The sequence below is a fragment of the Homo sapiens genome, chromosome 21, assembly GCF_000001405.40.
Source record: "Homo sapiens chromosome 21, GRCh38.p14 Primary Assembly".
NCBI lineage: Eukaryota > Metazoa > Chordata > Mammalia > Primates > Hominidae > Homo > Homo sapiens.
In genome coordinates, this window is record NC_000021.9 from 19733583 (window position 1) to 19750554 (window position 16972).

The 16972-nt window shown below is 33.9% G+C and overlaps 1 pseudogene; it reads left to right on the top strand.

Annotated features, from left to right (window-relative positions):
* On the top strand, positions 6102 to 6765 carry SREK1IP1P1 (SREK1IP1 pseudogene 1; annotated as a pseudogene).
* Positions 6766 to 16972: the final 10207 nt, after the last annotated feature.

Below are 16972 nucleotides of genomic sequence, written 5' to 3' on the forward strand. Positions count from 1 at the left end.
ATGCCCTGAATGGTATTGCCTAGGATTTCTTCTAGGGTTTTTATGGTTTTAGGCCTAACATTTAAGTTTTTAATCCATCTTGAAATAATTTTTGTATAAGGTGTAAGGAAGGGATCCAGTTTCAGCTTTCTACATATAGCTAGCCAGTTTTCCCAGCAACATTTGTTAAATAGGGAATCCTTTCCCCATTGCTTGTTTTTGTCAGGTTTGTAAAAGATCAGATATTTGCAGATGCATGGTATTATTTCTGAGGGCTCTGTTCTGTTCCATTGGTCTATATCTCTGTTTTGGTACCAGTACCATGCTGTCTTGGTTACTGTAGCCTTGTAGTATAGTTGGAAGTCAGGTAGCGTGATGCCTCCAGCTTTGTTCTTTTGGCTTAGGATTGACTTGGTGATGCGGGCTCTTTTTTGGTTCCATATGAACTTTAAAGTAGTTTTTTCCAATTCTGTGAAGAAAGTCATTGGTAGCTTGATGGGGATGGCATTGAATCTATAAATTACCTTGGGCAGTATGGCCATTTTCACGATACTGATTCTTCCTATCCATGAGCATGGAATGTTCTTCCATTTGTTTGTATCCTCTTTTATTTCACTGAGCAGTGGTTTGTAGTCCTCCTTGAAGGTCTTTCACATCCCTTGTAAGTTGGATTCCTAGGTATTTTATTCTCTTTGAAGCAGTTGTGAAGGGGAGTTCACTCATGATTTGGTTCTCTGTCTGTTATTGGTGTATAAGAATGCTTGTGATTTTTGTACATTGATTTTGTATCCTGAGACTTTGCTGAAGTTGCTTATCAGCTTAACGAGATTTTGGGCTGAGACAATGGGGTTTTCTAGATATACAATCATGTCATCTGTAAACAGGGACAATTTGACTTCCTCTTTTCCTAATTGAATACCCTTTATTTCCTTCTCCTGCCTGATTGACCTGGCCAGAACTTCCAACACTATGTTGAATAGGAGTGGTGAGAGAGGGCATCCCTGTCTTGTGCCAGTTTTCAAAGGGAATGCTTCCAGTTTTTGCCCATTCAGTATGATATTGACTATGGGTTTGTCATAAATAGCTCTTATTATTTTTAGATACGTCCCATCAATACCAAATTTATTGAGAGTTTTTAGCACGAAGGGCCATTGGATTTTGTCAAAGGCCTTTTCTGCATCTATTGAGATAATCATGTGGTTTTTGTCTTTGGTTCTGTTTATACACTGGATTACATTTAGTGATTTGCATATGTTGAACTAGCCTTGCATCCCAGGGATGAAGCGCACTTGATCATGGTGGATAAGCTTTTTGATGTGCTGCTGGATTCAGTTTGCCAGTATTTTATTGAGGATTTTTTCATCGATATTCAGGGATATTGGTCTAAAATTCTCTTTTATTGTTGTGTTTCTGCCAGGCTTTGGTATCAGGATGATGCTGGCCTCATAAAATAAGTTGTGATGTTGATTTATTTTTGCTGTCCTGGATTGTGTCCATATGTCCTCTTTGCTGATGTATTTATTAAACCAGATGTATGAAGGCTCCCCCTTGTTGCTGTCATAAGTTTCTGCTTCCATTTTCATTTGTGTCCTCTCACTCCTCTTCTTCACCTCCTTTCCAGAATTTTACGTCACCTCTTTTTTTTTGTCTCACCCTCTCCTGAATTCTGTATTTTATTTTTCTTTGATCTATTTTTTTTCACTTCTACACAGTGTTAGTTTCTCAACAAGGATAAGTGAATCACATGTGAGTCTAGAATGCCATCTTAATCTAAATGCCTACTTTTTACATAGAAAACACATACAGGTAATACAATCTTCATCTAGCTGTTCAATTGAAGGTAACCTAACTTATGAGAAATGAATATTCAATTACATTAATATTAATTTTGTATGGTTTATATCAGCATATCTGTATGGTTATTTCATTTATACAGTAAAAAAAATTACATCTGTTAAAGGATCATAAGGATGGTAGACTATAAGCTTGTGAACCCTGGAAGTTTGAGACAGGTCTCAGTTCATTTGGAAAGTTTATTTTGCCAACTTTGAGGACACACCCATGACACAGACTCAGGAAGTCTTGACAACATGTGCCCAAGGTGGTCAGGGCACAGCTTGCTTTTATACATTTAGGGAGACATGAGACATCAATCAAAATATGCAAGATGTATACTAGTTCGGTCTGGAAAGGCGCGACAACTTGAAGTAAAGCCAGGAGGACTAGAAGCAGGGATGGAGCTTCCAGGCAACAGATAGATGATACGCAAAAGGTTACATTCTTTTGGGTTTCTGATTAGCCTTTCTAAGGGAGGCAAATCAGATACGCATCTATCTCAGTGAGCAGAGGAGTGACTTTGAATAGAATGGGAGGCAGGTTCACATGAAGCAGTTCCTGCCTTGAGTTTTCCTTAGTGATTTTGAGGGCCCAAGATATTTTCCTTTCACAAGCTGTAAATATAAGATCAAGTTTAAAAGTAATTAGTAAAATCATATAGATGATTAATAAATAATAAGTACATTTATTATTTAATATCAGGTATCAGTTATGCACCATTAAAGGGCGGTATAGCTCATGGGTAGAGCATGTGACTGCAGTTATGCACCATTAAACAATATGCCATCTGTTATTCATTGAATTATACCGCCTCCCACACCAATTAATACATTGAAGTCCTAACCCTCACTACCTCAAGTGTGGCTTTGTTTGGAAATACAGTCATGGCAGATATAATTAGTTAAGATGACGCCATTAGGGTGTGCCCTCCTTAGAATGTCAGCGGTCCTTATAAAAGGGGAAAAATGTGGCTACAGGCATACACACATGGAGTGAGAGCATCATATAAAGATAGGAGTTATGCCGTCACAAGTCAAGGAATTACCAGGAGCTATGAGGGAGTCTTGGAACAGGATGTTCAGAGGAAGCACAGACCTGGCAACATAATGATTTAAGACTTTCGACCTCCAGGAGTGTAAGAAAATAAACTCCCGATGCTCTCAGATACCCAGTTTGTGGCACCTTCTTACAGCAGACCAACACAATGATATACCTTCCTTGTCCCCACGAAATATTGTTTTTGTGTCTGAGATTTCTTATTTTCTTTTTTTCCCCAATTCTATTAAGATGAATATTTTTAAAAGATTACATAATGCAAAACTGTGCATGTTCTGACATCTGTCTTCCACTGCAGCTTTATCTCATAATCTTATGTGTCTACCTCCTTGCTTTCTTCTCCAGCCATAATCTCTTTCCTATCACCATCATCATTATAAGAGTTAAAGAAAGAAGAGAGAAACACGAAAAGTGACTCAACAGTCAAAAACAGGTTTACTTTGGAGAATAAACCTGAGAGGGGCTTCTGGCTGATTTTGGTCAGGAGTGCTGTGTCTTACAGACTAAGGGTATTTAAGGGTTTTAGGGCAAGAGAGCTTATCAAAGACTTGGAATGTTTCTGTGTGGAGAAAAGTTTATTGAGGAGTTGAAATGTTTCCGCTCAAAGGGAAGGTTATCTTGGGACTGACATCTCTCCTGCTGGAGGGGAGGTTATTTCAGGGCTGGCATGTCTCTGGTCAGGGAGGGGTTTATTTTAGGGTTGGAATGTTTCTGGTTGGAGTTGTCATTTGTGGTTTATGGTCATGCTGACCTTAGCTATTAAGCTGATGCCCTTTGGATTTAGGCGGTTGTTGATCAAGGGGAACTTTAAAAAGGCGGTGCTTGTCCAAGATGGCGATGCTCCTGCTCTGTCAATCATCATCATCATCACCATTTGTTCCTTGAATGAATAATTCTTTCTTATGTCATATTGCCTTTGCAATTTGTGTGTGTGTGTGTGTGTGTGTGTGTGTGTGTGTGTGTGTTTCTGCATAGAATATTCTTCTCCTTTTGCTCATTTTACATAGTTAACTGCTATTTATTTATTTTTTATCACCTTAATTCTTGGTCAACATCTATAAACTTTGTGAGAAAAGGGATTGGGTTTGTTTTCACTCATCATTGCATTCCCACTATCACATGAATTTTCTGGTACATAAATGAATCGAGCATAAATATTTCCAACATTAATGAATGAAGCTGAGATTGTAAGAGTAGATCCAATAAAATTACATCATTTCGGCTACTTGGGCTTTGAATTCTCTGTTTATATGTGAAAACAAATATGCTCTAGCTACAAAGAAATAACATTTGGCAAACTCCTACTATACATTTCATGCCCTCTTACTATTTCAATAATGCTCTCTTTAAATCCTAAGAACAGGCTGGTGAGGTGTATGTAACATCTCCCCTTTTCCCCTAGTTATTTTCTGGTGAAGAAATTGAGCAACATTAAAGTTAATTAACTGCCATAATTGCACTGCTGGCTATTATATTTCAATAACTTGCCATGGGGTATGATTTAGGTAAATGTGAAAGGTATTATAGTCACGGTGGTCAGGAAAAAGTTTCAGAAATGTCAGTGTTTGAACAATGTTTGAGAAAAGGAATAATTTTTTCAGAAAGTAACTCAAGAGAGGAGAGAGACATTCCTGAAAGCACGTATAGAGTGACTATTCAAGCTTCACTCTTCCTTTTGAATCATTCACACCAGTGAGTTTCCAAGAGAATTTTTCTCCTTTCAGTGATTGTCAGACATGGATCCATTGTCAGACTTCATGTCCATTAAATCAACAAATGAGATGTACTTTAATCAATTGCCTACATCATTGAATTAAGCAGAGCATCTCCTGTGAGGACCTGCCAGCCTGTTAGATTCATCTCTAACTAAAATTTTACTTACTTTGTCCTGCTAAATCAATCACTCAGAAAATATATGTGCATTTTATTTTATGTTTCTTTTTCTTCTAGCCAATTTTCTGGATGGAGATTTCTGGTTTTTATGTTTTGCTGTAGTTTATGCTTTTTGGGGTCATAATAACACCAGTGGACATATGTCTGGGGTCATGTAACATCAAGACAGAATGAAAATGAAAAGCACTTTAGAGGAGATGGGTAGAAACTGTCAGAAACGTCTAACTTATTTGATTCCTCCAAATATTTATTCTTTGATATCCAGACTCCTCTTATTTGTAAACAGAGAAGCCGAAAGCAGTAGAAAATTCATAAAGTGCTGCCCTTAAGCAACATCTGGGAACACTATTTGGACTACATTTTCAGGAGTCTCAGAATTTTGGCTACACCAGGAAACATTTTCTATTGTAGTGGTGACATCATTATTAACAACAACAATGAGAGTTAACATTTATTGTGTGCATACTACATCTTAGGTCATGTTTTAAAAGTTTATATATATAAAAACTGTTTTAATTCAAATAGTATTTCCTAATCTATTATGGATAGAGCATACAGAATTGAACTGATCTGATTTCTGCTGTAAATTACTCAGTGATATTTAAAACTCTCATTCTTAATTTTCCCTCCATACAAATACTTTAGATCACCAGCAAAAATGCCCTCTATGTATTCACCTTCACCATCTAGATCCTAACTAGTTGCCAGCAAAAACTTTATTAAGTACATCAGCAACACAAACTGATTTGCTACTGGGCAATCTTAGAGTCTGCTGCTCACCTGCTATGTCTCAACCAGCTCATTAAGTCCTCTAATGTTTGTAGCCTTGATTCTGGATCTTCTTTCTTGATCTCCTTTTCTTCTGACTTCACAGAACAGAAAATGACTCAAATTACTGTATGGACAATAAATAATTATTTTTTAATATCAGTTTGGACAATAATTGAAATCAGAAACTAACAGGAATTAGGTTATTGAAACAGATTTGGTGTTCATTTTTATTCACTGGAAATCTGCTTCATTTTGCAGGTTTCCTCAGGTTGTACTTGTTAACCCATTTCATACTTTTTGCTAAATATCCCAGAGATGGTAAGTGCTTAGTCCTGAACCTTTTATAAGGTATTAGGATCTGGGCAATTTTCCTTAGAGAGACAGCTGAGAATAGTTACATACTGTGAAGTACACATTCATAAAATTAATAAGATTTGCATGATTTAATTACTGTAGTTGCTCTTTTATATAAAATAAAATTCAAGTTTATAATTTCATTTTCACACTGAAATTAACAATAATTATTCACTATTCCCCAGACTACATGCTAAAAGTAGAAAAATTGGTCCAGTGAGCCCTCTTACCACTGTCATGGCTGTCCCAGGTTGCAACAAAGACAGTGTCAGAAAAGACTGTAAAAAATGTGGCTACCCTTGTCACCTTACTTTTGAATGCCGCAATTTTCTCTGAGTAGACCCTAAAAGGGACATAGTTTTGGATGTCAGCAGTACAAGTAGTGAAGATAGAGATGAAGAGAATGAAGAACTGAATAAATTGCAGGCATTACAGGAAAAAAGAATAAATGAAGAAGAGGAAAAGAAAAAAGAAAAAATCAAATTGAAAAAAAAGAAAAAGGTCTTATCCAGTTCCACTGAAGAGGACACTTCAAAACAAAAGAAACGAAGATATCAGAAGAAAGAAAAGAAAAAAAGAGTAAATCAATAAAGGGAAACATCACAAAAAGGAAAGAACAAGGAGAGAAAAAAAAAAGCATTCTTCTACCCCTAAAAGTTCTGAATTCTCCAGAAAGTAACTGAGACTTTGGCTTAAGCCATTAAATTTAAAAATTTGTTTTTAAAACATGTTTGCCTTGCCTTGGAATTTGCTATATATTATGTTTTGCAATAAATCACAGCCTTTTCCATACAGACATTTTTTGTATGTGGGACCATTATCCCTCTGGTAATATATTTTTAATATGCTATGACTGTAAAGTATTAAATCAGTCTTGTTACTTGATAGTGATGCCCCAAGTATAGCTATTTGTATGTACTAAACACATCATTTTTGGTATATGTGTCTCTGTGTTTTTGGCTAGTGTTATTACTTCATAAGTTGATTGTAAAATGGCTTTACTATAGTTAACACGAGTCATCTACCTAGTAGTTAATGAGTATTGCTGAATCGGATGCCCACCTTGAAGTGATGAAGCTAGGTAAGGGTAATGTTTTGCTCTTGACACAGATATATAAATTTGACACAGATATATAAAAAGCTATAATATAAATTTAATAGCTTTATATACTTAAATATAATATCTTTTAAAGCTAGTAAAAAAATAGAAACATTGTTCAAATTTAAATGAATACTACACAGAGTACTATCAACTGAGAGTAGATATTGTACAAAGTCATACAATGATTAAAACATGGATATTATCTGCATAAAGATATTTGGAGCCTAGAGACATATACAATGCTATATGACATTATTATTAATTCATTATGGATCACTTTATGGCTGTTTCTTTCTTACTGCTGTGATCTATGAAAGAATAATGAAACAGAGCACCGGAGATTAAGTGATGGTAAAAGATATGTAAGTCACGCAGGTGGGTGGAAGAGAGAAAGAAAGAGAGAAGAAAAGAGAGACTTTTGTTTTTAATATTCACAAATCATTGGAGTTAGAAGTAAAGAAATAAAAACAAATTAAAGCTTAATATCACAGGATTAAAAATGCAACTCCCATTGACTAAAGAAGCAATATATGCAAAGATAAACGTAAATACACCTAATTTATTTTGGATTTCGGGAGACCAGCAGGCTGGTAAATATAATGGGAGACAAAGATTGTATACCCAGCCAAGTTATCTTTCTAGTAGCAAGATTATAGAAGCATGTAAAAGACCACAGACAACAACAACAAGAAGAAATTTTAAAATGCAGAACTCAGAGAATTCATTGATTTTCTGAGATTCCACAATTCTCTCTTGTGGACTCTATAACAAAGATGACCTTCATCTAAAGAAGATATAATTTCCCATTTTGTAGATTGCCTGTTCACTCTGATGGTAGTTTCTTTTGCTGTGCAGAAGCTTTAGTTTAATTAGATCCCATTTGTCAATTTTGGCTTTTGTTGCCATTGCTTTTGGTGTTTTAGACATGAAGTCCTTGCCGATGCCTATGTCCTGAATAGTAATGCCTAGGTTTTCTTCTAGGGTTTTTATGGTTTTAGGTCTAACGTTTAAGTCTTTAATCCATCTTGAATTAATTTTTGTATAAGGTGTAAGGAAGGGATCCAGTTTCAGCTTTCTACATATGGCTAGCCAGTTTTCCGAGCACCATTTATCAAACAGGGAATCCTTTCCCCATTGCTTGTTTTTCTCAGGTTTCTTAAAGATCAGGTAGTTGTAGATATGCGGCATTATTTCTGAGCGCTCTGTTCTGTTCCATTGATCTATATCTCTGTTTTGGTACCAGTACCATGCTATTTTGGTTACTGTAGCCTTGTAGTATAGTTTGAAGTCAGGTAGCGTGATGCCTCCAGCTTTGTTCTTTTGGCTTAGGATTGACTTGGCGATGCGGGCTCTTTTTTTGGTTCCATATGAACTTTAAAGTAGTTTTTTCCAATTCTGTGAAGAAAGTCATTGGTAGCTTGATGGGGATGGCATTGAATCTTTAAATTACCTTGGGCAGTATGGCCATTTTCACGATATTGATTCTTCCTACCCATGAGCATGGAATGTTCTTCCATTCGTTTGTATCCTCTTTTATTTCATTGAGCAGTGGATTGTAGTTCTCCTTGAAGAGGTCCTTCACATCCCTTGTAAGTTGGATTCCTAGGTATTTTATTCTCTTTGAAGCAATTGTGAATGGGAGTTCACTCATGATTTAGCTCTCTGTTTGTCTGTTATTGGTGTATAAGAATGCTTGTGATTTTTGTACATTGATTTTGGGCGAAGGACATGAACAGACACTTCTCAAAAGAAGACATTTATGCAGCCAAAAAACACATGAAATAATGCTCACTGTCACTGGCCATCAGAGAAATGCAAATCAAAACCACAATGAGATACCATCTTATATCAGTTAGAATGGCAATCATTAAAAAGTCAGGAAACAACAGGTGCTGGAGAGGATGTGGAGAAATAGGAACACTTTTACACTGTTGGTGGGACTGTAAACTAGTACAACCATTGTGGAAGTCAGTGTGGTGATTCCTCAGGGATCTAGAACTAGAAATACCATTTGACCCAGCCATCCCATTACTGGGTATATACCCAAAGGACTATAAATCATACTGCTATAAAGACACATGCACACGTATGTTTATTGTGGCACTATTCACAATAGCAAAGACTTGGAACCAACCCAAATGTCCAACAAGGATAGACTGGATTAAGAAAATGTGGCACATATACACCATGGAATCCTATGCAGCCATAAAAAATGATGAGTTCATGTCCCTTGTAGGGACATGGATGAAATTGGAAATCATCATTCTCAGTAAACTATTGCAAGAACAAAAAACCAAACACCGCATATTCTCACTCATAGGCAGGAATTGAACAATGAGAACACATGGACACAGGAAGGGGAACATCACACTCTGGGGACTGCTGTGGGGTGGGGGGAGGGGGAGGGATAGCTTTAGGAGATATACCTAATGCTAAATGACGAGTTAAAGAGTGCAGCACACCAGCATGGCACATGTATACATACGTAACTAACCTGCACATTGTGCACATGTACCCTAAAACTTAAAGTATAAGAATAATAAAATAAAAAATAAAAAAATAAGATATAATTTAAGAAACACTGGCAAAAGGATTAATAGTTGGCATTTAAAAAAATAGTCCCAAATTTTTTTAAAAAGTGGATACATGGATAGAAGAAAATATACAAATATTATGTTTTGACAAAGAAGAATCAATATAATAAAAAAGAAGATAAGAGAAACAAAAAAGCAGATTAATCTCATTTTCTGATATATAGAAAATAAATGGCAAATAGTGCAATTAAATATTGATAATCAGGTATTAAAAGACTAATTGAGAAAATAGGGACTTAAGGGCAATTTTAAAAGCCGTAAGAACAGAGGTTACAACTGGAATGAAAATAGAAACTTTCTTAAATGTTGATGTAACTTTAAAATTACAGAAGAAAGCACATGACATAGAGAAATAAAGATTAAATCATGTATAATAAGCATAGTAAGTATAATGTAAACTAATGTAAAATTTAAGACACAATATATCAGCTTATCTACATATGTTAATGAATCTAACTCATTTATTGAAAGAAAAAGAAATCTAATCATAAGATAGATCAATTGATCATTTAATAGATCAATTCAAAAGGAAATGAACTATTCAAATACTAGAAGAAAACAAAGGTAAATTCCTCTCTAACTTATGGTTTGGAAAATATTTTTACATATGACTCAAATTCTGCATTCAAGAAAATGTAGATATCTCTGACTTTAAAAGATTTTAAAAAACTTTGTTTTCCAAACTACCATAAAAAACCAACAAGTGACAAAAGCAAATAACAAAAACTTAGAAGAAACTTGTAATAACAGAGATAAAGGATTAATGTATATTTTAAGAATATGAAACACTCTTAAAATTGAAGGAATCAAGACCAAAACCATACAGGAAAATAAACAAAACATGAATAGGGATGTCCCAAAATTATATAATGACCTTTAAAACATGATATATTTACATTCACTTATAATAGATGCATGCATCTCAAAACCATGCTGAGTTACCACTTCTTGTCTGTCAGATTATCAAAAATTAAAATCTTGGTAACTTATTCCATTGGTGAGGCTATTACAAAACAGTCTCACAGATTCATACTTTATAAAAGAAAATTTGGCTATATTGAACAAACCTATATGTTTATACTGTTACTTAGAAATTTCACTGAATATAAGCTTCTGTAAATATAAAAATAGTTCTTATAGCACCAGGTATAATTACAGAATACTGAAAACAAATTAGTTGCCTGTATACAGGGCATTGCTTAAATACACTCTGATAAATACTCAGATGGCGGTAATAGCAGCTGCAAAAGAAATGTGGAAAATTTCTATTAACTGATATTGACTAACTTATAGGCTGTATTAATTACATTTAAAAAGAAGCCTTCAAAATATTGTATTTTTTTCTATAAGAAAAAGAGGATGATAATTAAGTATTCATGCATCTGCTTAGTTTTACAAAGATCAACCCAGTAGAGATAAGCTAGACAAAATTCTAATTGATTATTTACAAGCGTGAGTAGGAACAGATTGGAAATGTTGGTGGTGATGGTTTGAGACTTCTCTATGTCTACCTTTTTTGTAGCTTTTACTTTTTGAAACCACATTGCAAAATAAAACCAATGAGCTAGAAAAAAAATTAGAAATACAAACAGCAACTAAGGAAACTCTGTATTTCAAATGACTAATATGACCAAGGTAAAAAAACAGGAAATAACTAACCAATGCAACTTAAAAACGGAGTATTGTATTGATACATCATCAGTTTACAAAGAAAAATAACCCTAGACAAATACTGTACTATAGTTACTAGGTTTGGGTTTTTTTGGCTATGATATTGCTAGAAATTCTAAAACTACCCTAATTTTAGCTTTAAGCAAACAAATTATTATACTGAGGATAAATGGAGCCAGATTTCTCACTGATGAAGAAATGAATTACGAATACGTAAATGGAAGGAGAGTAGACCCTGTGGTGTTTAACCAGGCATGTAGGTATCATTGTGAACACATGGTCAAAGTCTTTGTGGAGAGGTAGCTGATTTTAGGACTGGGCAAGTAAAGTACAAGATGAAATTAGAACATCTTCTTTTAGAAAGCAAGTTGCATTAAAAATAAATAGGGCATTAAAAAATACACACTGAATTCAGTTTGAAGGGGTTTTTATTGGATAAATCTGGGGCAATTTGACAATCAAAATTAATAATAATAAAGTATCAACAAATTAAAAACCAATAAATCAAATGAGAAATCATGTATTTATACATATGTAAATAAATACACAATTGTATAAAGAGGGTAAAAGGAAAAATATTCATTTAGGGTGGAATTATACCTAATAAATGTACAGGAATGATAGAATTATGGAGATTTTTCAAACTGTCATTTAGCAGTCATCATATTAATAATTATTTCAAGTAAGATTCAGCAACTGATGCCAAAATAGATGGTAAAAGTTTGCTGAGAAGTAGGGCGTGAAAATTTTATATATATGTAAAAACATATATATCAGACTACCTATGCATACATAAACATAAACACACACATTTATATGAGAGAGAGAACAAATATAATAATATTTAAAATAGAGAAATATGGTTGGAGGGTATATGGAAATTCTTAACACTATTCTTGCAAATTTGCTATAAGCTTTAAAGTATGTGGAAATAAAAAATTATAAAAATGAGAAATTGCTTTACCCACGTGACCCCAATTTTAGTTGCTACAAAATGGGATATAAAGTATAATTTCAATTATAAAAATGACGTATGTAAAAACCATAGTATAGTTACAGACCACTATAGATTCTAGACAAATAACAGTTTTATCTTCTTTTTCAAAAGTGGCAAAATTGTTACATTTTAATTTTGCCAACTCATAAACAATATCTGAACATTTTGTTTCTGCATTGCATATTATTACAACACTAACTCACAAACTTCTAACATAATAATTATTTTCTTCTTAAAAGTAGGGAATCTCTGCTTTAAAATATCTGAAACACTTTTCTAAGATGATAGAAGTTGTGTAGTTTAAAAATAAGACCTTGATTTTGGAAGCAGACATAGGTTCCGATTCGAGCTCATACGTTTTCAACTGCTTGCTTTGACATAGTTACTTAGGCTCTCCACAGTTCAGTTTCATTGCCAGTATCATAAGAATAACTTAATTCTTATTTAATGGGTTTCTTGAAGCCCAAAGGAGAAATTCAAGAAAATACCTAGCACAATGCCTGTGCCATAAATAAATGTTAATACATATTAGCTATCACAATGGATAAGGGTTACACATAATTAATTGAGATTTTTAGGTATTGTTTCTTCTTAAACCACTACCTGTGGAACCCTTCCATAGATATAAAATCTTAACCAATTCATGATCTAAAATTAAGTTGATGATTTGTGCTACTCGCACATTGAATAGAATGAGCATAGATTTTTTTCAATATCTTTCTTTTACAAGCAAAAGAAAAATAAAAGCAAAACTCTAAAGTGAGTTCCTCAAAGTGACACTTCAAATGATTTTCTTTGTTCTCAGTTTCTACTCTCATTAGAAATGTTCTGAAAATATTTCACTCTCTCATCAACTACCTGAGGGTTTTATAAGAACGTTTTTTAAATATTATTTGCAGGACAGAGATATACTGTTCAATTGAGAATGAAAAATGTCTCATACATTTATTTAACTTGCCAATCTGTAATTTACTCACTGTCCATTTAAAAACATTTTTATTGTTATTTATTAAGCCTTACTCTGGAAGCCCAAATCCTTTATTTCATTATTGCAATAATAAAGCCAGCAATGCAAGAAGAGCGGAGAAAATTGGTTTTCCTATCGGTGTTTGAGGTCTACATGATTAGACTGCTTCTCTGTCTGCGGATACTCTGCACACTTTGAATACTGACTTCAAGGGTTTTAGAACATCGATGGGCTTTTAGTCAAAAAAAAAGTCTAAAATACAAATATTATTTTTAAAATTTAGCTGATTATCTTAAGCAAAAATTAAGTTTTTTTCTTTTTTTAAATTTTTTGTCTGATATTTTGAACCCATAAAGAAATTAAAATTACATAGAATGTTTTTATGTCCTAAAACAAGGAGATAATAGCCATAGAGGTTTTATTAGGCAATTAGTAGCTATAAAACTGAAGGAATGGTAGGATGATTAATTTTTTTGATTTACTTATTTAAAATCCAACCATAGGAAGAAGAAAATGATACTTCAAATGCTTTAAAAAATGAAGGTATCGTTTAACATATTAACATTATTTTAATAATAATATATTTACATTATAATTATTTCTTAACACTGAAATATATGAAAATCTCTAAATCCTTTATCTGGAGTTTAAAAAGTTAAAATCTAAGCTAATTAAAAAATGAAATGCATATGTCTTTGAAAGACAAAAGCAATAATCTAATAGACTCCCATTTTCAAAGGAACAATAATTTTCTCTTAGGTATACCTCTGATCATAGATTTAGCAATATCAAGGTAATTTGTAGCACAAAATAATACACCACTGGATGTTAAAGACTTAGATCAACAAAATTCACTAATCATCGTTCCAATTCTTTAATTTTATAGCTCCTAATTGCATAATAAAATCTCCATGACTATTATCTCTTCCTTTTATGACATATATACATTTTGTGTAATTTTAATTTAAGAATTCAAAATATCAGACAAGAAATTCAGTATATAGCCTACAAAATACTGTAGTATAAAATAGGGCAAAGTACCACCGGGCCATTTAAGAAACCGTCTGATTTGTGTGACTTAGTACTTCTTTGCCTATGAAGCATAGTCTGAGTCTGAACAACTGGTGACAGTTAAAAGTCTGCAGCGTTCCACTTTTTTGATTTTTATGGATCTGTACAGTGGTCCTTATCCTAGAAAATTAGCCATTGAATTCATTTGGGGCATCATGTGCCCTGAGCAATGTATTTTCAGGCCTGTGCATATCAATAATTTAAAGTAAAAGGGTGAAGCGCGATCAACAGTTAAGCTCTTAAAACGTGCCTTTTAATTAGAAAAGGGTGTTAAAATAAGGCAACACTTTAAAGTAAAATGATACCCATTTGTAACATATTGGCAATTAAACTCACTTCTTTTTCATTATTCCTTAGACACCCCGTGCTGTACTTACAAGGCAATTCTAACTCTTTAAAGCTAGTTTTGAATCACAAGCTTAAGCTGACAGTTACCAGGTTCCGTTTCTCATTCTTGGTCTTTAAGTTCCTACATGCTGCTTTTGAAAACTGAACAGACATTTCCTTCTTTAGATATTATGTTTCTTCAAAACATCATATTTATTTACAACAATTTATTGTCTATATTGTGCCAGCGAAAATACAATAAGATGTTAAGTAAACTTTATATTCAGTAGCCCGATGCTGTTGATAAGGTCTGAGGAATTTTAATTTTTAAATCTTACATGCAGTACACTTAAATGAATAATACCTTCTTCTTGATGCAGACTATGTAACCTAAACATTCTTGACAAAGTGATGAGTTTGACCATTCCCTTGAGGTACATTTGCATCTATTTAAGTACAATTTAATAAGTGCCTACTCTTTGGCAGGCATTGTGAACGGAGAAATGGCCTAATCAGATGCCACCTAGGGATGTTTCGGTCAATGGTGGACTGTGTGCATGACGGTGGTCCCACAAGTTTATAATACCATGTTTATACTGTGTTTTTCCTATGTTTAACCATCTTTAGATATACAAAATTGGCATTGATAAAATACCGTTAACTACAACACAAATCTTGTGCTCAGTTTTGCAAGTTTTAGATAACTTATTTAACTTATTTTTCACAAACATGCATAGGCAATACAGTGAAAAAAAATGTAGTGTTTTTAATAAATCTTTCAAGAACACTTGGACATCTATATGCCAAAAACATAAAAATGGATTTACACTATATACAGTCATGTGCTTCCTAAGGACATTTTGGTCAACAATGGACCACCTATAGGGTGGTGGTCTCATAAGATTGAAAAGGAGCAAAAACATTTCTATGGCTTAATGACTTTGTAGCGATTGTAACATCATAGCGCAATGCATTATTCAGGGGTCTGTGGTGATGCTGGTGTAAATTAACGTGCTGCACTACTAACTGTATAAGATACAATTATACACAGTACATAATACTGAATAATAAACTGTGTTACTGCTTTATGTGTTTACTATACTAGACATTGTATCTTTCTTTTAGAGTGTACTCTTCCTACTTATAAAAAAATTAACTGTAAAATAGCCTCAGGCAGGTTGTTTAGGTGGCATTTTAGAAGAACTCATTGTTACAGGAGATGATAGCAGCATGCCTATTATTACCCCTGCAGACTTCTAGTGGGACAAGATTTGGAGATGGAAGGCAGTGATATTGATGAGCCTTACCTTGGGTAGGCCTAAGCTAATGTGTGTGTGTGTCGTAATTTTTAACAAAATAGCTTTAAAAAGTAAAAATTAAACATAGCAAAAAGCTTATAGAGTAAGGATATGAAGAAAGAAAATATTTTTGCACCGTTGTACAATGCATTTGTGTTGTAAGCTAAAGGTTATTATGAATTAAAAGCTTAAAAAATGAAATGTACATAAAGTAAAAAAAGTTACAGTAAATTAACATTAATTTATTATTGAAGAAAGAAATTTTATAAAATAATTTCAGTGTAGCCCAAGTGTGCAATGTTTATAAAGTCTACTGTAGTGTACACTAATGTTCTAGGCCTTTATCTTCACTCAGACTCACTCATTGACTCACGCAGAACAAGCCCTCCAAGCTCCAGTCTTGCAAGCTTTATTCATGGTAAGTGTCCTAAACAGATATATTATTATTTCTATTATTTTTTTACCATTTACACTACATTTTTACTGTATCATTTTTATGTTTAGATTTTTTTTTAGGGGGGAGGGTGGAGTTTCGCTCTTGTTGCCCAAGCTGGAGTGCAATGGCATGATCTTAGCTCACTGCAACCTCCACCTCCCAGGTTCAAGAGATTCTCCGACCTCAGCCTCCTGGTCTTACAGGTGCACGCCACCATGCCCGACTAATTTTTTGTATTTTAGTAGAGACAGGGTTTCACCAGGTTGGCCAGGCTGGTCTCGAACTCCCGACCTCAGTTGATCCACCTGCCTCGGCCTCCCAAAATGGTGGGATTACAGGTGTGAGCCACCACGCCCATCCATTTTTAGATATTTTTAGATACACAAATAATGTGTTACAATAGCCTAAAGTTTTCAGTACAGTAACATGCTGTACAGGTTTGTAGTCTAGGAGCAATGGGCTATAGCCTATAGTCTAGGTGTGTTGTAGGCTGTACCATCTAGGTTTGTGAAAGTATACTGTATGATATTGCAAAGCTACAAAAGCATTTAATGATGCATTTCTCAGAATATATCCCCATTGTTAAGTGACACATGACTGTGTATTAATCTTAAGTGAAA